At 40.7% G+C, this 22,565-nt stretch overlaps 1 protein-coding gene and 2 pseudogenes across 26 annotated transcripts in view, besides 1 other annotated feature; all 3 read right to left on the bottom strand.

The window, feature by feature from the left end:
- The window catches only part of ACACA (acetyl-CoA carboxylase alpha), a 321,845-nt gene that overhangs the window by 47,684 nt on the left and 251,596 nt on the right, over nucleotides 1–22,565 (bottom strand). For 25 of the 26 annotated variants that reach the window (XM_011524701.2, XM_006721853.2, NM_198834.3 and 22 more), the window contains 2 exons: nucleotides 18,626–18,746; nucleotides 17,189–17,299 (listed from right to left, as the gene is read on the bottom strand). In XM_011524701.2, the coding sequence (XP_011523003.1) occupies nucleotides 17,189–17,299; nucleotides 18,626–18,746 (232 nt within the window). Of the gene's footprint in view, nucleotides 1–17,186; nucleotides 17,300–18,625; nucleotides 18,747–22,565 lie in introns of those variants that run through there. The other variant, XM_047435894.1, reaches the window with a different exon arrangement.
- RPS2P49 (ribosomal protein S2 pseudogene 49) lies at nucleotides 7,894–8,738 on the bottom strand (annotated as a pseudogene).
- Nucleotides 9,694–10,195: an enhancer, noted in NCBI's record as "NANOG hESC enhancer chr17:35499293-35499794 (GRCh37/hg19 assembly coordinates)". NCBI's record gives its function as "activates a minimal SCP1, AML or CMV promoter by ChIP-STARR-seq in naive H9 embryonic stem cells {active_cell/tissue: H9 hESC(naive)}" and the evidence as "EXISTENCE:reporter gene assay evidence [ECO:0000049][PMID:30033119]".
- On the bottom strand, nucleotides 10,786–11,704 carry HMGB1P24 (high mobility group box 1 pseudogene 24; annotated as a pseudogene).

The raw sequence follows: 22,565 nt of genomic DNA on the forward strand, positions 1-22,565 counted from the left end.
CTATTTTCTTCCTATCTCTAATACCTGATAATGTCCAACCACTTAGAATCTTACACATCTCCAAAACTAATAATGGACCAATGAAGAACTACACTCAGAAAAAGGGACCGCTCAGCTGTTTAAACATACTTTCTTCTGATGTCTTTGCCTCCTCATTTAAAAGTGATCCTCTGCCACTTATCTATTCTACCCCATATTTTTACAAAATAATGGGAGGCAAACTTGGTAGGCTCAATAACTGAGTACTCTTCTCTTTACAAGCTAAAACTCGGGTTCTGATGCTTTGGCATTGTTCTGAAAAGGCAGCAGTATTTCTACATCTCTCCTTTCCTATGTTTAGAAGAAACCTAACCAGGGCTTAACATACCAAGAACATTATTTCTGAGCTAAAGAAGTGTTTGTCATGTGAGAAAATTCACTTAATTCAGAAATTAAGGAGAAAAATTACAGAATAGACTAAGAGTATCCCAATATCACTCTCTGACCAGCCTTATCTTGGGAGATGGGGGGTAGGGTGGGGATGGGCACAGAAATGAAACTGCTCCACTAATCACAAACAAATGCTAACAATCATAACTACTTAACAATCGGTGAAGAGAAAGCAGTACCCTCCAGTTCATCTTCAATGACCACATGTTTGGAGTATGCGCCAGTAGAATGAGGGCGCACACAATAGCTCCTGATTTATAGGGGTCGTTGCTGACTCAAGTGGTTTTAATGATTTTAGAATACTTCACAACAAAAGCTCCAACCAAGGAAGCAGAATCTGGGTTAGGATAAAATCCATTCTGCCTAACTGTGAAATGATCATGCTATAACAGTTACACAAACCCTCATCAGTATCTAGGAAGACGAATGGAGTCCACATAGACAGAACCATTGTTTTCTTCCTCAAGGTTGCCCTGCTGACCTTCTACAGAAAAACCTGGGGTCAACAACTCTCATCAACATATTTTCATGAAGTAGGTGAGCTGCATTCAACACTCTTTTAAACTTTGACCTACGCATTTCTTGCCGTGTTTCAGTTCCCAAATATATTCCTCTTACATTCTACTTACTGTATGATACAAACTTTTAATTTATCTGTCCAGCAAGCATCAATAATCATTTAAACACAGGAGTGAGTCAAACAGAGGTGATTCTCCTGAGGCCTCACTTTCTTGCCCTCCAGATCTAAGTGGAGAAGCAGTACCATGCAATATTAGGAATGGGCTCCACCTTGGGGTCCTCTGCTGAAGAGTGCCATGCTGACAGAATTGAATAAGGGCTGAATCTGAGAGGAAAGAGGATCTTGACTCATTCTCAATATAAACTTAAGCCTCATCCAGTACTTCATTCATTGCAGCCGGCGGACCTAAGAATTAAGGGCACCACATAAAAGCCGGTGATTAGCAGAGACACAATTGTTAAAGGCTCCACCAAAGATGCTACGTAGCCTTTAGAAATGTTGAGATACATAAGAAGTACAAATGAATGCAGTCATACGTCCATGCTCAGGCCTCTGCTGCTGCTGCTGCTTATCTAGAGACACTGCAGACAGCTCAGGTTTACCACAGCTGACAGGCAATGAAAACAGCCTAATATACCGCCTGCTCTCTCCCTTAAAGCCCTTTTTGGAGATCAAGATAAACACGTACTTCCTTTCCCCCATGCTCCAGACGTTTGACTGAAGTGGCAGAGCATTGTGATGTTTTGTGCAAATGAAATCACTATGTAATACTGAATGAGTGCAGTATTTACTTGTCAGGATATTTGTCAGCACAGGCATTGAGATTTCCAAGTTTCACAGATGCAACTTAGCTCAATTTTTTAAAAATTGCCTTTGTCCTGACATACACATTATGTTGGGGACCCTTAGACTTATAGGCAAATATTTGCAATCATGTGCTGAAGATGTGAAAAATTATCATGCATATCAATGATGGAATAAAAAATGAAATCTATTCCTTCTCTTCCTCTTTATTCAGTCTTTTCCCCCTCTTTAAACAATGCTCGGTGGGTCAGGACATCTATTTAAGGAAGCAGGGAATACAAAATTCCTCCTGCATCTAAGAATTAGGCTACACAAGCTGAGTCCTCGCTGCAATCCTCCTTCTTATTAGGACATTTCCATTCTCAAGAGGATTTGAGGAGGGGTTTTGTAAATTTACTGAGTAATTGTCATCACTGGACTTCATCCATGATTCTAGATATTAAAGTCACTCTGGGATCTGTCAGGTTATTGATAAAGGTTGGCTAAAGCTGAAAGAGAACAGATATGAGAAAGAATAAGCAGGAGTAGAGGAAAAGTGGTAAAATAGGGACAAAAGAAAGAAGGAAGGATGAGAGAGAGGAAAAGGGAGGGGGAGAGAAAGGAGGAAGGAGAAGAAAAAAATGCAATAGCTCATCTACTCAGTGCAGCTAATATCCTCCTCCCTGACCTGAGAGGACTACATTTTAAAAATCTGACAAGTAATTCAATCTCCAATTAACAATTTTAAGTGGTGCTGCACATATCACTGTGTCAATGTTTCTTCAGGAATATATCCAAGGGTGAATGGAATTAAATCTCTAGGGAGATGGAACCAGGACCTATGTGACCAACAAGATTATTTGGGGGTTCCAAAATACAGTTTCTTAATGCATAGGCAAAGCGTTATAATTTTTTCCCCACTTTATTGCCACTACTGTCACTGGCAAACTGGAGTGCTGGCTGGCAGGTGCTAGGCTAGGGTTGGGGTAGAGAAGGGGCTCGGTGACATACTGTGGGCAGAAGAGAGAAAAGCCTCTGACATGAGCCACAGCTGGATTCAAGACCATTTGCTATAAGACCAAAAATCTCTCTATAAGCAGCAAATCATGAAGTGATCAGGTATGCTGAAGGATAAACTGGGGCAAAGGGGTGGTACTGTCAGTGGAAGGAAAAGAAACAGCCAAAAAGAGGCTGAATATAGGCCAGAAATAACACTGGAAGACATCTCTTTACTGAGGTACAGGGCTCAGTGGAGAACAGAGGAATGAATTAGACAGCAGAAAGACAATAAGGATTTGAAGGTGGAGTGGGTAAGGAACAGAGACTCATTTGTAATGTAAAAGATAGAGAGGAGCCACACAATAGTTTGCTAAATGTATGAGAAGAAGCACAGGCTTCTGGAAAGAAAGCTGCCAAAAGTAATCACTCACCCTAGGGGGACCCACCAACTGCTCATGTAGGTAGGGACTTGAGATTTCTGATAAGTTAATTCCAAACAGGAATTCTTTTTTTTTTTTTTTTGTAGAGACAAGGTCTTGCACGTTGTCTAGGCTGGTATCGAAGACCTGGCCTCAAGCAATCCTCTCGCCTCAGTTTCCCAAAGTGCTGGGATTACAGACATGAGCCACCATGCCCAGCCAATTTTTAAAAATTTTAAATAAAGTCTGGTTTATTGAAGTATAATTTACATACAGCAAAACTGTCCATCATAAGGTATACAAGTCTGTGAATTTTAATACACATAGTCATATAACCACCACAACAATCAAGATAGAGAGCATTTTCATCATCCCAAAGTCTCCTCATGTTCCCTTCCCTCCCTCCACCCCTAACAACCATTGATCTTTTTGTTCCAGTAGTTTTGCCTTTTCTAGAATGTTACATAAATGGAGTCATACAGTACATAGCCTTTTGAATCTAGCTTCTTTCAGTTAGCATATTGCATCTAAGCCTCATTCATGCTGATGCAGGTATCAGTAGTTTATTTTTATTCCTGAGTAATATTCCATTTTATGGAAGTACCACAACTTGGTAACCCGTTTGCCTGTTGGTGTACATTTGGGTTGTTTTCACTTTTGGAGGATTATAAATAACACTGCTATAGACATTTGTGTACAGGTTTTAAGAAAAGCCCAACCTTTTTCAAAGTGGCTGTGCCATTTTGCATTCCCACCAACAATCTATGAGAGTTCCAGCTGTCCTGCATCCTCATCAACACTTGGTATTTGTCAAACATTAAAAAAAAACCATTTAGGCCAGGCACAGTGGCTCACACCTGTAATCCCAGCACTTTGGGAGGCCTAGGCAGGCAGATCATGAGGTAAGGAGATTGAGACCATCCTGGATAACACGGTGAAACCCCATCTCTACTAAAAATATAAAAATTAGCCGGGGCGTGGTGGCACATGCCTGTAGTCCCTAGCTACTTGGGAGGCTGAGGCAGGAGAATCGCTTGAACCCGGGAGGTGGAGGTTGCAGTGAGCCAAGATTGCACCACTGTACTCCAGCCTGAGCGACAGAGCGAGACTCCGTCTCAAAAAAAAAAAAAGCAAAAAACAAAAAACAAAACAAAAAACACCATTTAGTGGTGTCAAGCTGTGGTTTAATCTTCATTTCCCTAATGACTAATGATAAGCATCTTTTCATGTGCTTATTTACCATCCTTATATTTTCTTTGGTGTAATGTCTGTTCAAATTTCTTGCCCATGTTTTTAATTACTGGGTTGTTTTCTTACTGAGTTTGAGAATTCTTTTGGATACCAATCTTTTATCAGATTATGTATTTTCTAAAGATGGAAAACTTTTAAAAAAATCCCTGTTTGTCAGTCGCCTCCTACTGGTTTTACTGAATAGGCTGTGACTGACTGCATTGCTCACCAGTGTCCAGGCCCCAAGAGTATGGTGTTTGCAGGGCCTCGCTCTTAGGGGAGTAGCACTGACTTACTATCTCTGTGGCCTTTTGGTTTGTGTTTTCTCATTGACGTCTGATGGGCAGCAATTTTATTTTTTCCTTTAGAACACATGAAAGGCCTATTATTGTCTTTTAGCTAAATTTCAGCTCCATGAAAGCAGGAATCATCTTTGTATTGCCACAGCATAAGAACAGCTTTATACCTAACAGGCATGCAATAAATGCATGTGATCTACCACATTTCTATGTATTCTATAAAACCTCAACCGATTAGTATGTTCAGCAAGTTAAACCACTATAAGCAAAATAAGTCTTTCATATTAGTGTTATAATGTGTAGTGGCTTTCTGAAGCAAAAGGAGTGGTTCAATTTTCCTACCTTTTTAGTTTTCCCCAATGTAGATGCCCCTCTCCCTCCCTCCCTGTCAAAATTCTTTACATGGGCTAAAATTAAACTAGTAATTCTAAGTACTATAAAGTCATATTATGTTAGGAATGCTCTTCTGAGCTGCATAAACCTGCTTTATCTATTGAGAAAGGCATATTTTACCAATGGGTCAGGTAGAAAATGAAGTTACTCAAAAGTTGATTACATGTTCCAATGGTCTTGACTTCTCATATTTGCATCTTATGCTGTTGGTTAAATTTGGGTGGGTTCTTTTCCTTACCAACACTGATTTCTCAATTTCTTAGACGCGCATACTATTTTAGAAGGCTTAAATCCCAGACACTGAGACATTATTAAAATTAGGAACCGGTCAAAAATCAGCCAGAAAATCTTGAAGCCCAGGCATGGTAATCTGTAGTTCAATCTAAAAAGCTCTTTAAGCTTCTCCTTTCATAATTCAATATTCCTGACTGTGTACATTAGCTGATTAGACTGTGTGATGATGGCCAATCTGAATGAGAAGGGACATAGCTAGATTTGGATCCATGCACAGGGAACATTCCCTAGAATGATGAACAGCTAGGAGTCAGGTTTCTAAACAGTCTCATTTCCGCTTCTTTATCATATTCATAGACCAGTCTGTGCACAGCCAGGGCCCAGCTCTGTCTTCCTTCTAGAAAAGACTGGAGTCCTTGCATTTCTAATCTACTAACGTGTGGTTCTTGCACTTTTAATTTATGAGTGTTAAGGGGGACCTTTCTGACTTGGGAACATATTGGCTCGGTCTAATGCTTGGAGATTATTAAACTTGGAGCTATGCTCCACTATCAAGTCTACAGATCTTTTATTTAGAAGATATGGTGCTCTAAATGCACAAAGAGCTCCCTGTCACCTTCACATTAAAGCCCCTAGTGCCTGGTAAATGGAATTATATAGCTGTCATCTCCTTTCCCCAAAGTTGTAAGAGTACAATGGGCTCATTTTTTCACACTCCATCCCAGCTTCAGAACTAAGAGACCTACTTTGTATTGATTTAAGGTCTCAGAAATAAATAAACCTGCTTCACCACTGTGATTCACAACAAATTCATGATACACTATTGCATGATATATTTCAAGCTCTTGCTCTGGCTCTCTTTTTCTTCTGGTGAGTAATGGGGGAGGTGGGAGGTGGTAGGGAGCTGCAAAGCTGACAGCCTGATGGTTATTGGAGATGGTTGCTGACTGCAAATCCAAGAATAGACACTGTTGGAGGAGTACGGGAATTTTTTTACAACTAGGGGGCAGGGGTGATAAGCTAATTTACTTGGGCTTCAGGCTGGGGTTGGGGGAGAAGAAAGGCTGAAGAGAGGAGAGGGGTTGACAGAGTAGCAAAGCTTCAAGTGAGCACTGATCTGCAAAGACAGAGCTATGAATATATGTAGAAAGAGAGACAGGTGAAGAAAATTCAACATATGAAGGTGTAACACACAACTGAATATAAAATGAAGAAGACGAAGAAACCAATCTTCCTAAGGAACCGTGTGTACAGAGCTAAGTGGGCCCTTAGCTTGAGTTCAGAGACAATGTTTTATTAGAAACAGACAGTGTAGAGACCCTACATGCCACCCAAAGTGTGAGGTAGAGGCATTTCTTCATTCTAATACTCAGGACACATCAGAACCCTGGAGGTGGAAATGGACAATGGATATAGGGTAGAGATATAATGAAGGTCCACATGGATGAAGTGAGCCAGAGACTGTTCACTGAGGCAAGAGGGTAATACATTCTAGCAGTTTAGCTTGTGTTTGTGTACCCTTGGGGTTTGAGTACCTAAGTCTACATCACCTTTACTGATTCCACCAAATCTTAGGCCCAATGAGTTTTAGCTGGTATCTACAAATATAGCAGTCAAAAAGAAATATCCTCCAACCTTATTTCAGGATCTGGACTTTCAACAAGGCAGAGGAGGAGAAAGCAGGAGATAATCGGGCTCCGAAGGTACTGCATGGCACTGCAGGAGACCCCTAAGGTTCCAAGGAGTACTTCCAAGTGGAATTAAGTTTTAACTGTTTCTCTTGTTTCTTCTACTTATTTCACATTTTTAACTGGCAAAGTTATTTATGAATCCAATTTCTTTTCTATCTTGGAATAGCATTTTCATCTTCACTACATTTGTTCTTGAGACAAGACCAGACTCTGAACACAAAAGTACATGAGAAAGATTTTGGTTCCATTCAATTTCCAATTGGTCATATCACAAAACTGGGAGTTTCTTTGTTAAATTTGAACACTGTCTTTAAAGAGTGATCAGTCTCTGTACAGGGAAACAGACTTTAGCCAAATATAAAAAAGAATTCACAGATGAATACATAGATGAATGGGATTGGCTCCAAAAGTACTCAGCTCCCATTCAGTTGAATTTTTCACACATAATTGGGTGAATATTTAGCAATGGTGTCACAGAGGAGATTCACACAACAATTGTGTGGTTGAACTTTTGAGGATCCTCCCACTCTCAAGATTTATAATTCTACAGCCACTTGTGATTGTGAACAACATATAGTGTTTACTTTTCTGTAATCTGGATAAGAAACAAAATTAAAAAAAATTTTAAATCATCATGCTCTTCAACTTCCATTCCTGGTCTCACGAGTATGTAATAATTTTATATATCACTAATATGTAATTTTATATATAATACCCTAATACGCAATAACTTTAAAAATTCCCCACCTCCTATCTATTCACTCCCCAGCCTAAAACAGTTCCCTGGCTACAGATCAATATGCATCTTTATAGCATCACAGAATACTAGATATTGAACAGAATTTAAGATTAAGAGATCCTCTGGTCTTCTACTTAAAAAAAACAAGCAAACCAAAAACAGGCTTAATTCACTTTATTTTTCTTATGTAAAAACTCTGTGTTGTAGCCACAGTTGGAGCCTGGGTCCCCTGCATGGAGACTCTGGTGTGGGTCTTGATGAGGTGGTCAGTGAATTCCTGACAGGAAGACTTGATGAATACAGTCTCCTTCCAGAGGTCGGGGGTCAGGTAGCTGTAGGTTTTAGAGATGGCATCAAAGATGGCCTTGAGAAAGTTCCCTAGGGTGGCAGTGCAGCCCCTGGCTGAGGTGTAGCAGTCATCAATACTGGCCATCATCAGCAGCTTCTTGGGCACCAGGGCCGAGATGATGCCAGTGCCCCGGGTGCAGGGATGAGGCGCACCAGCACAGAGCCACAGCCACCTGTCACCTTGCAAGGAATGGTGTGGGCCTTCTTCTCCCAGTAGCCTCTGTGCATGGGGACAATGAAGAGCTTGGCCAGGATGATGGCCCCATGGATGGCAGTGGCCACCTCCCTGAAGTACTTAACACCCAGACCAACATGGCCATTGTAGTCCCTGATGGCAACAAACATCTTGAACCTGATGTGCTGGCAAGCACGCGTCTGCTTCTGCACTGGCATAATCTTCAAAACCTCATCCTTGAGAGAGGTCCCCACGAAAAAGTTAGTGATCTCAGATTCCTTGATGGGCAGGGAGAAGAGATAGATCTCCTCCAGGGACTTGATCTTCATGTCCTTGACCAGGTGGCCCAACTTGGTCATCCATTCCTTGCCCTCAGCCTTGCCTCCATGAGCTCTGTGGGGCCCAGGCCCTGTTCACGGCCATGGTCCCAGCCCTGGATGCCACTGCCAAAGGTTCCACGGTTCCCCATCTCAGGCACCCCCACACCTGGCTAATTTTTTAATTATTTTGTAGAGGGGGTCTTGCTTCTTGCTATATTGGCCAGCCTGGTCTTGAACTCCTGGCCTCAAGCCATCCTCCTTCCTTGGCCTCCCAAAGTGCTTGGATTATAGGATTACCACGCCAACCTGATTTTCTACTTTAAAATGGGAAATGTATTATGCCTTCCATTTCACAAAGAGGAAACTAACATCTAAATAGATTAAAGCCCAAAGTTGCTTACCTAGTAAATGTCAGGGAGAAGAACAATCAAAAGTTTTTTGTTTTTTTTTTTCTGAGATGGAGTTTTGCTGTTTTTGCCCAGGCTGGAGTGCAATGGTGCAATCTTGGCTCGCTGCCACCTCTGCCTCCCAGGTTCAAGTGATTCTCCTGCCTCAGCCTCCTGAGTAGCTGGGATTACAGGTGTGTGCCACCACGCCTGGCTAATTTTGTATTTTTAGTAGAGACAGGGCTTTACCATGTTGGCCAGGCTGGTCTCAAACCACTGACCTCAGGTGATCCGCCTGCCTCTGCCTCCCAAAGTGCTGGGATTACAGGCATGAGCCACCATGCCTGGCCAAGTTTTTTTTGTTTTTTTTTGTTTTTTTTTTTTTAATCTAAAGGTTCTGTAACTCCAAAAAATTTGAGCACATTCATAATAGGTTGTCAAACATGATAATTTCCGAGTCTGTATTCAATGCCCCAAATAGAGTCTCAGAGCTTTCACTTTATCTAGAAGCTCTGGACTGGTACTTGCTGTAGGGTCTCCCAAATTCTTAGACTCTAAGCCACCATATATGCATGGGCTCTCTTAGAGTCAGAGACAACTTCTGCAGTGGAGCTCTGTGTGGCGATTCCACCCTGCAAGATCTCCAAACCAGAGCACTCAGGATTGTTGGCAGGTCACTAAGGCAGACTAATAGAGTCAAAACATAACCTGGTATAGTTTTCTACCAAACTTGAGGAATATTGAATGAAAAACAAACAAAATAATCCCCCCAAATGGGGCCAGATTTACCAATATTTTATGTGTGGGGAGGGAGCGCTTGAAAATTAGGGAGATCTGTCCATTGTGCAATAATTTCTGAGAATTCATTCATAATGCTAAAGCAAGGATTACTCAGAAAGGAAGCTAAAATGCCCTCTTTAGAAAGGAGAGTGATCCCATCTGGAGCTATGGGAGTACAGGGACTGTCTATTGTGAAAATAGGTAGTTAGGGACTTTTAAAAATGCAAATTGCTAGACTGATCCTTAGAGTGATTATGAGCTATTGTATCAACGAGTCCTTGGGGACTCTTGTAGACAGATGACTGACATATATACTACCCTGTCACGACTGAACATCGTGCCTCTCACATTAATGGCTTTCCAAAGTGCGTTGATTGTTGCTAGATACATCTATTGGGAAAGTCAATACATGAATGTACTGCCACAGTGAGGACTGTCATCTAACATTTTCTTGAAGAAATTTTTGCCTTCAAAGAATCAGAAAGTATAGAGAATAATGTGTTCGTATTTCCTTTCCAGAACCAGGATAAGAAATTGCAATGAGAAGGAACCCTAAATGAACCTTAGAGAAGACTATGGCAGTGCCAATGTTTTACCTATTTTGGCTCATTTAATTCTCACAGCGACTCTGGTACACAGATACTATTATTACTCATCTTTTACAGTTAATAAAACTGTAGCCCAGAGAGGTTAAATAAATTGCCCGAGGTCACACAACTAAGTAGGTGGTAGAGCCAAGAATTAAACCTGGGCAGCCTGGCTCTAGCCTCTCCATGCTCATAACATCTTTTTTTTTTTTTTAACTAATAAAAAAATTGTAATTTACTTAGAAGCATTCAGAATGCCAACAAAACAGCTGCAACTTTTTTTTTTTTTTTGCAATTACAGAGTGGTATTCAGTTAACAGAACAATTGTTTCATATAAGCTGCATCAGAGACAATTGAAAATGAAAAAACTACCAACCCCATATATAACTTACATGTGCTGTGCACCAATAAGAACCTGCTTAAAATTTTTATGCCAATTTACAACCCCCATCCTGTACCAGGCAAGGTTAGTGGCTATGAAAATACCACCAGGACAGGGCTATCTAAAGACACTTTTGGTAGTGTGTTAACTATACAAAAGAAGACACCATACAGTTTAAAAAAATTCTTACACAGCCTTACATTTCAATTTTTTTCTTTAAAAGGAGTGAGTTGTATACAGGGGGGTTAAATGCTTTATAGACAAGAAAAAAATCTGTGCTAGAACCAACTTATTCATCATCATCATCTTCTTCATCTTCCTCCTCCTCATCCTCTTCATCTTCCTCATCTTCCTTGTTTTTCTTGCTTTTTCGGCCTTGGCAACTCCCTTTTTTGCTGCATCAGGCTTTCCTTTAGCTCAATATGCAGCAGTATCCTTTTCGTATTTTTCCTTCAGCTTCGCAGCCTTCTTTTCATAAGGCTGCTTGTCATCTGCAGCAGTGTTATTCCACATCTCTCCCAGTTTCTTTGCAACATCACCAATGGACAAGCCAGGATGTTCTCCTTTGATTTTTGGGCGATACTCAGAATACAACAGGAAGAACGCTGAAGGAAGCCTCTTGGGTGCATTGGGATCCCTGAACTTCTTTTTTGTCTCCCCTTCAGGAGGGACGTAGGTTTTCATTTCTCTTTCATAATGGGTCTTGTCTGTCTTTGCCATATCTTCAAATTTTCCCTTCTGTTTAGCAGACATGGTCTTCCACCTCTCTGAGCACTTCTTAGAAAACTGAGAAGTTGACTGAAGCATCTGGATGCTTCTTATGCTCCTCCCAACAAGTTTGCACAAAAAATGCGTATGACAACATCTTGCCTCTAGGCTTCTTAGGATCTCCTTTGCCCATGTTTAGTTGTTTTTCCACAGCGAGGCACAGAGTCACCCAGTGCCTGTCTGGCTCTCGCTTGCCCCGGCGCTGTCTCTATCGTAACCTCTTTAAGTTATGTGAAAGTTACAATGCTGCCCGCCCCACAGTGAGAGCTAAGTAATCTCTCCTTCCCTTCTTGAGCCTCCATGACTTTCATGCTGTGTTTCACAGAGTCATGGGTGGGTGAGCATGGAGACTACACAGTGCAGGTCCCTGGTGTAACAGACAATTCCCACTCCTGAGAGGAACTCTGGTACTGTGCCTAACAGAGTCAGCTATGACAACTTCACATTTCATACTGCATAGCTGCAGAAAAATACATATATGAGAACCAGAGAGAAATGTAACTTACTTGCACCAAGTCTCAAAAGCAAGATTAGCAGAATTAGCCCCCTACCAAACTAATGGCCCTAGTCATACCCATCACATAACTTCTTTTTTCCTGGCAGATTCAGTGGAAATAGGGGCCTGATCTCGCTAAGGGGGATGAGAGTATAGGATTTTTTTTTTTCTAAAAAAGAAGCAGAGCTTTAAAATACAAGAAAAGTCACATATCATCTCCTGGTGAATCTATCACCTGCATATCACTGCCTTTGGCATATACCTTACCTTCACAGTCAGTTAATGTCCACAGGACAACCATAAACTGCATATTCTTATTTCTCTGGATAGAGAATGTGCTCTCTCTCCCCAAGTCTGGGGCAATGGATTGAGAGCTAGTAGGCTCCAGTACACATCAGTGTTCCTTTACAATACTAGCTCTTCCCAGCCTATCTGCCACCTAACACTATGTTAAACATACTAATACTTTTACCAGGAAAGGGAGAAAAAAATAAAGTAAAAAGGAAACTGAGAGGAAGAGTGGTGGGAGGAGGGAAGTAAATATGATCATCTCTGCAAATGTCCAGTGGCAAATAGACTTAAGAGTTTATGACTCTGCAATCATCTCAGCTCCTTAAGGGTGCATCTTAACAGTTCCCCAAGTACACAGGTTACTGCCTTTGCCAGGCCAGCATGACTCCCTTCAAGCAGGGTAATTTGCCACACACATCAGGTCTGCCACGCAGTGAGGCATTTTAAGGAATCTGTCACCCACAGCCTACAGTTCCTAGAGTTAGGATCTACTACCTTGAGTGACATGAAATAGCAAGCCCCTAGAAACTTCTCTTATTAATGTCATCATTCTCACGACATTTGGACAAACAGGAAAACGACCGGACCACCTTCTCTTAGGCTTTACAGACCACTAAGCAAAGAGGCCTGAGCTTTCTTCAGTGAAACTTAGGGACATGAAAGTTCATGTTCTGACCCTGATCTAGTCTCTCTCAATGAAACTAAGTCACTTTCCCTTCTGTTTTTGCCTTCCTGTCTACGAAATATAGCCCTGATACCATTAGCCCATTCCAGAAGATAGCAAGGAACCAGACAGATATTCTTGACTGAATTTCAAGCAAACCCACTTGGGCTGCTTCTAATCACCAGCCTACTGCCTTTAGTTCTAATGTCAAATGTGCTTAGTAACACTCAATAAAATCCAGATACTACAACTCATCTCAATTTGGGTAATATTTTGAATATTTTACAAATAACTGCAGGCAACAAAGCAAGACAGACATGGAAAGAAGATACACAAATGGTGAGTTCACAGGGGGAAAAGGATAAAAATACGAAGGTGGGAAGCACTTCCTGGTTTTGGAATAAAAGACACAGTGGCAAAGGATGGCGTCCATGAATAAAACATGTAAGTATACAGAAAAACCACCAAAAGTAAAAAAACAGGAAAACACCAGAAAATATTTATTTTATATGAAGGTTACTACTGTTGGCTATAAAAAGAAATCCTTTAAAAAGTAAGAGTCTTTGGAAGCAAAAGATAGGAAGGTGTAAACTAATTAAAAACAGGCTAATGACAGGCAACATCATGTGTATGCCAAGATGGAGTATAGCCATAAAAGCCAGGCGCACACATGCAATGTATTAAGTTGAAAATGCATGTCTCTTCAGCTTCATATCTATTAAAGGAAGAAACAATTTACAGGTTGCTGCATTATGGGAGTATGATATGTGGAGTGTCAACCTTTTCTCTTCAAACTGAACCATGTTAAGTAAAATCAATGATGGGGTTTGGGGGGTAGGGGAAGGAAGGGGAAAAGCAGGGAGAAAGAAAGTTTTTAAAAATCTCTGCCTCAGCAAAAGTTTTCATTAAAATTTTAGACAAATCATCCCTGTGTCCTTCTCCCTTGCTGCCTGGGGCTCCATGCTATTTCTATGCAAATAACAACCTCGTGGTTTATATCTTATTATTTCCACCGGAGCTGCAGCGACATGACCTGAGATGTGTAAGAGGTGGGGGGGAAGGGGGGGGCAGAGGAGGGGATTTGGAGAGGAGAGAGAAAGGGAGAGAAGAAGGAGGGGGGAGAGAGAGAGAGAGGGTGTTCACTCAAGTGTGAAAAAATATTGTCAGGAGTGAGCATCAAGAACAAAAAAAAATTGCAGGGATAACGTGTTTATTTCAGTCCCCCCCAAAACCCCCCAACCCCCCTTCCTGCAAACCAGCACCTTTTAAAATTCATTGGGCATCAGGCGATCATGCACAATCCATCTGCTTTCACTTTATCATTTGCATTTCATGCCTCCTGGCTTTTGATGTGCTGATACTTTGATGCAGTCAGGAGACGTGCATTATCATTATTTCAATTTTCAAAGGGGTCAACAGGATCGGCACTTGCACACACAAGATTTTTTTCCCCTACAACCTCTGAACACCCCCACTCCTTATTCTTCACCCCAATGTTTAACATAAAGGATGAAGACTCAAAAATGTGGGGGTCAAATATTTACAGTCTAAGACTGTATATAAGCTTGCATGTCTCCTACATTTCCACCTTACACAGGTACATACTATGAGCAAAATGGCCAAGGCTTAAGAAAGGAGGCTCTATAATGTTTCAAAAACACAAAGACTTTCTCACACATGAACACACAGGGCGGCACACAGACAGAGAAAGAGGGGGATCTATACGCAAGACACAGACACAAAGAGACAGAAAGATCAGCACCCACACAGAAAGAGACATGCACTCAGGGTGACTTGCACACACCCAAAGTACACAATACAGAGAGATACCTACAGAAAGAAAGGCAAACAGAGATGAAGAAAAACACCAGCACACACAAAGACAACACACAGAAGGAGTGAGTCAGAGGAAGCCATCTGAGCATGGTAGTTTCCTTTTTTCATACCTTATAGGCAAAGGGGCTAATAGGATATTCTGAACGAATTTGCATAAAATCGGGTGTCTTCAGCAGCACAGCTCTATACTTAAGAGGAGCTGACATGAAGATAGTGAAGCAGGCAGAGCAACATTAGGTAACCTCTGTATCTGATCACTCCCTTCAGCTAAAAACAAATATGCCCTTTTGGAAGTGAGCATTGTTTGGTAAGTTAAAGCTATAGCTTTATTTATCTTTCACCCTGTAACTAAGCTTTTGTTTTAACAAGCAGCCCTGTAAGCTATGACAGTGAATATAATGAATTTGATTAGAACAATTCAATCAGATTTTAAGAAATCAATCTCTAATGTTTCTTCATGGCACAAATGAAATTCAACTAGCAAGTTTTCAAGCAAAACAAAACCAAAAACCCAACATCTGCTTTTTGTAATATTCTTTGTATATAATATAGTATCGGGGCAGGGGGGAGAAAGAAACTCAATATAAGAAGATATATTTCAGAAATTAGCTCTCTGACTGGGTATGGGAACATCATGGAAATATAGGTTTTTAAAGTACCATTATCTATGAGAACAGAATTTTTAAAATCTTTCAAAAATTCTGTTCTCATAGATAATGGTACCTAAAATTATCTTTGGCATTCATCAATATCTCATCCTAAGAAGGTATCCAAAAGAGCAACTTAAAAAAAAAAAAAACAACAACCTTAAGACTCTCAGCAGTTTCTCCCACTGCAATAATAATCTTCAGTAGTAGTGGTTCACAACCTTTATTTCCAGGCTACTCTCCAAAAAGGGAGGAAGACAGCCAAGTTCGCCACTGTTAGCACTGCTGTGCCTTTCCTTGATGAGAAAAGCAAGCCCAGAGGAGGATACAGAGTTCATATGAATGCACAGAGCAAGCTGATCGCATCAAATGATTCCTCTAATTTCTGACATCCACAAAATCTAATTAAACCAATGGAATTATCAACTTTTTCCTAAATGGGAATGACAGAACACTTAATTCTTACCCTTAAACTTGAAAGTCAAGACTTGATAAAAAGTTCCTGCAAGTGGAGTAAACATAATATCTGATACAATTTAGTATGTGTATTAACTCCATAAGCTCAATCACCAAATCATGTTAGAGAGAGGAACGGGAAACTGAAATTTGAATGTGGGCCAACACTTTTTGCCAAGAACTAGGTACTCTTTTTTTTTTTAAGAGATGGGGTCTTACTATGTTGTCAGGCTGGATTCAAACTTCTGGGTTCAAGCTATCCTCCTGTTTCGGCCTCCTGAGTAGCTGGGAATCTAGGCATGCCCAGTAGAACTAGGTACTTTTACTTATGTTTTCTCATTTGAGCTCCACATTATTTAAAGGTTTAAATTATTATCCCCCTTTGACAGATAAGAAAGCTGAGGAGCTGAGAGGTTATATAAGTTGCACAAGGGCAGTCAGCCTCAGAATATTCCATTATACTTTTCTGGCCCTGAAGAGAAAATAATTTTCCTATGCTTGCAAAGATGTCAGAACTGCACTGTCCTTTATACATTCAGGTATTCTTGGATAGTTTTCACTCTTTCGAGCAGTGACCTTGCCATCCATTTTTTTCCCCTTTGGAAAAACCCTTGTGAAGTTGGACTAAAAAGGCACAAATCTTTCTTTGGAAGGGAAGATAAATCTTTATGCATACTCTTTCCCAGTAACCCATCCATGCATCCATCCACCCATCTTCCCACTCAATATTTGCCAAATATTTCTTCTATATACAAGAGACCACCATCGGTGCCCTTTTCGAGAGGTGTATTTACAGATTTCACAAAATCATTAAAACTTGATAGTCTCAACACCTAGGCCGGTACCTAATTCATGATGTAGGCCTGAAATGGGAACCAGCACAGCTGGAATCAGAGACAGCTCAATGTCTGTGTATAGATCTCCTCACATCTTTTACTAATAGATTAAGAAAAAGAGAGAAGTGGGACAGAACAGAAGCGTTCAATTAATTCTGTCTTTCTACAACGACACTAAAACATAAGCACTTTAGAGCAGCGGTTTTATATGGTTTGTTCACTAACATATACACAGGGCTTGGAACAGTGCCTAGAAAACAGTAAGTACTCAAAATAGTTGATAAATGAAATGAATGAATGAATGAATGAATAAAAAGGCAAGCAAGTCAATGGGCAGAAAAGATGGAGGGAGAGGGGAAGAGATAGACTGAGGAAGGCACGGATTGAACTGCTTCCTTCCAATCAGGATCTTGAATTAAGAATTCACACAATAATCTTCAATCAGCTATGCATACTTCTTCAAAACCCTAGAAACTTACTTTGTTGAGGGCTCCAGCTCCTGTTAGAATTAAGTGAGAATTCTCAACCTGGATGGTTCTCTGTCCCAGCCGGACAAGGTAAGCCCCAATCCCAATGGCCCGGCACGTCACCTTAGAAAAGAATAAATTCTACATGTCACATATTTATGTCCTCTCTGAAGCTATAAGAACTAAGGCATAGATAAGTAAAATCCAAATTAACAGAAATAAACATTGCTTTTTATGAAGTCTATTTGATTGACAACAACACACACACACAAATTTCATGGTCAAAGAAAAGAAAATACAATGATGCAAAATTCAGGCTGGGTGCAATGGCTCATGCCTATCATCCTAGCACTTTGGGAGTCTGAGGTGGGCGGATCACTTGAGCCCAGGAGTTCAAGACTACCTTGGGGCCGGGCGAGGCAGCTCACACCTGTAATCCCGGCACTTTGGAAGGTTGAGGCTGGTGAATTACTTGAGGTCAGGAGTTTGAGACCAGCCTGGCCAACATGGTGAAACCCTGTCTCTAGCAAAAATACAAAAATTATCCGGGCGTCATGGCACGTGCCTGTAATCCCAGCTACTCGGGAGGCCAAGGCAGGAAAACCACTTGAACCCAGGAGGCAGAGGTTGCAGTGAGCTGAGATCACGCCACTGCATTCCATCCTGGGCAACAGAGTGAGACTCTGTCTCAAAAAAAAAAAGACCTACTTGGGCAACATAGTGAGACCCCCATCACTACAAAAAAGTTAAAAATTAGTTGGAGGTGGTGGCACATGCCTGTAGTCCTAGCTACCTGGAAGCTGAGGTAGGAGGATCACTTGAGCCCAGGGGGTAAAGGCTGCAGTGAGCTATGATTGCACCACTGTACTCTAGCCTGGGTGATAGAGTAAGACTCTGTCTCTTAAAAAAAAGGAAAGAGGGGCCAGGTGTGGTAGCTCATGCCGGTAATCCCAGCACTTTTGGAGGCTGAGGCGGGTGGATCACGAGGTCAAGAGATTGAGACCATCCTGGCCAACATGGTGAAACCCCGGCTCTATTAAAAATATGAAAATTAGCTGGGCATGGTGGCACTCGCCTGTAGTCCCAGCTACTCAGGAGGCTGAGGCAGGAAAATTGCTTGAACACGGGAGGCGGAGGTTGCAGTGAGCTGAGATCGTGCCACTGCACTCCAGCCTGGTGACAGGGCGAGACTCCATCTCAAAAAAAAAAAAGAAAGAAAATAAAAAGAAGTTACACTAAAAGCTAAAACAAAGTGCTGGGTTTGTTTGAAAAATTCAGTTATTTATATTATCCTATCTTCCTATTATCATGTGTGATTAAAATATAATTATAGACATACAATCTTCAAGAAATGCTCTCATTTGGGACTGAATAGCAGTGATAAGAGAAAAAAATAAACCTAGCCACACAGCCAGTTCTTCAAAAATTTCACATTCTGGAAAGATTTACCAGGCTGATGGTAATGATCTCATTATAGGCCAATGAGGATTCTCCAGCAATCATTCCAGAACCTCGAAGGTTCTCGGGTCCAATTCCCTCTTCTTTCCCAATAATATCTGTTATCTTGTACCTATTGGATATGGCCATGTCAAATTATGAATGTTAAACACAGTAACAACAAGCCATTAAAAGAATAATCACCAATAAAAGGCGGCTAAAAGTGTATTGAAAGCTTATATTTAATGCCAGGGCTTTATGTGCTTCCTTTTATACTCTTCATTCATATGTCTTTCCTTCTTAGCTTGGTGCCTATTTTACCTGGAAGCAACATGGTTTAATAGAAAGAGCGAAATCTGGAATTAAGCAGATAGCCTTTTTTCTTTTTTTTTGAGGCGGAGTCTCGCTCTATTGGCAGGCTGGAGTGAAGTGGTGCAATCAAGGCTCACTGCAAGCTCTGCCTCCCGGGTTCACGCCATTCTCCTGCCTCAGCCTCCCAAGTAGCTGGGACTACAGGCGCCCGCCACCACGCCCGGCTAATTTTTGTATTTTCAGTAGGGACGGGGTTTCACCGTGTTAGCCAGGATGGTCTCGATCTCCTGAGCACGTGATCCGCCCACCTCAGCCTCCCAAAGTGCTGGGATTACAGGCGTGAGCCACCGCGCCCGGCCTAATTTTTGTTTTTTTTAGTAGAGACGGGGTTTCACCATGTTGGCCAGGATGGTCTCGATCTCTTGACCTTGTGATCCACCCGCCTCGGCCTCCCAAAGTGCTGGGATTACAGGTGTGAGCCACCGCGCCCGGCCAAGCAGATAGATTTAAATCCTTGCTCTGATACACACAGGAGTGTGACTCTAGAAATAATAATAACTTCTACAAAATGGGAATAATAATATCTACCTCTAAGGGTTGACAAGAAAGTTAAACTAAAGCAAACAAGGAAAAGGTTTGATGTTATAGATGGCCCTCGGATTTTAGATGCCCTCTCTTATTTTCTAGAACAAGTTTCTTAAAAGCAAGGTCAATGTATATCTCTATAATGAGCAAAAGGCATCATATCAACAATTTTAGACAATTTTACGTAGGAAGAGAATATCCAAACAGAGCGGTAGTGAGAATGCTCAGCTTAGTTTCTCAAGTCAAAAATCCTCTTCTAAGGTAGGATGAAGCAAAGGTCAAAATACTGAACTCCCATTCATACTCCTTCATAAATATCAAGTATATACACAAGGGTCCCTGGATATGTCCTCTGGAGGGGAAGGTGGAATGTGTGTAGAAGTGAAATGCTGACCAAGTTGTCCAGAAAGCATCCTGTGGATCTAGTGGGAGTCACTCATCTGTCTTCCTGGCAGGGGATTAGGAGTGATAGCTGATAATGGGAAATGGGAGATGGGGAATGCAACTAATAAAAGAAAGGAAAAATACAAAGTTGGAAGTAGAGATGGGCATATATTATTTATTGTTCCACGTGTACCCAGAAGGCTTGGCAGTGGGCACAGTTTTATAAATTGAAATAATAAATAAGTACCCCATAGTGGCTCTTAAAATACTTCCTCCTGCCCCCATATTTTCCTGCTCCCTTCTTCATTTCCAGCCCTCCATCAATTCTTTTTCTTTGCCCTTGCTGTTGGTCTGTGACTTTGCATCTCTGCTTCCCAGATTCTGCTGCCTTTCTATTTTTAGCCTCTCCTAATATCCAATAATTTCCCAGTTCTTCCTTTTGTTCTGTATCTAGACTCTATCCTAAAGTTATGTCAGAAATGAGGCTACTGTCCCTTAAGGGGGTTAATTAACTACATTAATTGTATATGTGTTTGTGTGCCTGTTTGTATAAGGTCCATATAGTCATAAATATTCAAGGACCCAGCCAGACTTGCCTGTAACAAACTCAATATTCATAGATTCCAGAAATGAAGAGTTAAAAAATATCATAGGGGAAAATCCCATTCAGAGTAGCAAGAAAAAATGCAAAATATTTAGAAATAAGCATGAAGAAATTGGCAGAATCTCACCGTAACTATATTGTGTCTCAGGGCACCATGATGAACTCCCAGAAGCACTACAAGATATTTTAAATTTTTGAGAGAAGCACTATTATATGTGGTATCTGTGACCCTATGTGAACTACTAGCTTTAGATAGTTCATAGTAGTTCACAGTTTAACGTTAGAATGGTGCTACATTCCTTTTGAAAATGTCCTGTCTTTGCAAGCTAGATTTTTGAAGTTTCTGTGAAAACTCAATGAAGAACAAGAAATGTGGGTGGCTATATCCAAGCTGATTCCAAGGTTTGAGAGGTTATGCAGACACAAATATCTCATTAGTAAGAAACTGTAATTATTTAAGAATAAATTTTTTCGATTTATGTATATAATTTTTTCAAATGATTATTAAGTTCTTAGGACGCAAATACTTATTGTTTAACTACCTAATAAGCAGAAATATTAAGTATATCTTATAGCCCAGGGGTGCTATGAAAAAATTACTGAGACACTAAGGATGCCATGAACCAAGAAAGTTTGGGAACCTCTGGCAAAACCTATATGAAGAAAACTACAAAACGTAAAAACAAAACAAAAAAAACCCCACTCATATAAATGGAAAAACATACCCTGTTTCTTTTTGGGGAAAGTTAGTATTATGAAGATGTCACTTCTTAAATTAATGTGTAAACTCAATACAATCTGAATCAAAATCATTATGGAACTTTTTTGGAATTAGAAAAACATGAGACTCTAGCCAAACACAGTGGCTTGCACCTGTCATTGCAGCTACTTCAGAGGTTGAGGTGGGAGGATTATTTGAGGTCAGGAGTTCGAGACCAGCCTGGGGAACCTAGCAAGACTCTATCTCTAAAATTAAAAAAATAATTAGCTGGGCATGATGGCACCTGTCTATAGTCCCAGCTACTTGGGAGGCTGACATGGGACAATCTCTGAAGCTCAGGAGTTTGAGGGTTTAGTGACCTATGATCACACCACTGCATCCCAGCCTAGGCAACAGAGTAAAACCCTGTCTCTAAAAACAAAAACCCTCTACATTAAAAAAAGCAAAAGTAGCCAATAATACTTGAGGAAAAATTAAAAATGTGAGAAAATTTGCCTCACTAGAATAGTTTAAATAGTGTGGTATTAGCCCAAGAGCAGACAGACAGAACAAAAAAACACAAAAGAGTAAATTTTCAGTAAATAGTATTAGGACAATTAACTTTTTTTTTTCTTTTTTTTGAGATGGAGTCTTGTTCTGTCACCCAGGCTGGAGTGCAGTGGTGTCATCTCGGCTCACTGCAACCTCTACCTCCTGGGTTCAAGCGATTGTCCTGCCTCAGCCTCCCAAGTAGCTGGGATTACAGGCATGTGCCACCAGGCCCGGCTAATTTGTATATTTTTAGTAGGGATGGGGTTTCTCCATGTTGGCCAGGCTGGTCTTGCACTCCTGACCTGAAGTGATCTGCCTGCCTCAGCCTCCCAAAGTGCTGGGATTACAGGCGTGAAACACTGCGCCCAGCCAAGCAATTAACATTCTTAAAAATACTTGCAGATAGATTATATAAAAACATTCAACTTCACTGGGAGTCAAAAATACAAGTTAAAATAACAATTGCCATTTTTATTCCATTTTATTAATTGATAATAATCAATGTTGGCAGGGGTGAAGAAAAATTAAAGAGGGAAACAAATCCTATTCTACACTGCTGACAGAAATGCAAATCTTGGGAAGGCAATTTAAAATTATTTTTTAAAATCCTTAAAAATTGACTTTTCGACCTGCAATTTCTCTTCTAGAAATTAACCAAAAAGGGATGATCAGAGCTTTTAATTCCTAAAAGTTTATATGAAACTTATATAAATGTCCCTTAAGTGGGTTCAGCCAAGGGATGTGAAAAATTAGAAATAGTCTGAATGTTCAAATATATTTATTATAATAAAATACTATGTAGACATTAAGCATCA

The sequence above is a fragment of the Homo sapiens genome, chromosome 17 (genome assembly GCF_000001405.40).
Source record: "Homo sapiens chromosome 17, GRCh38.p14 Primary Assembly".
Classification (NCBI taxonomy): domain Eukaryota; kingdom Metazoa; phylum Chordata; class Mammalia; order Primates; family Hominidae; genus Homo; species Homo sapiens.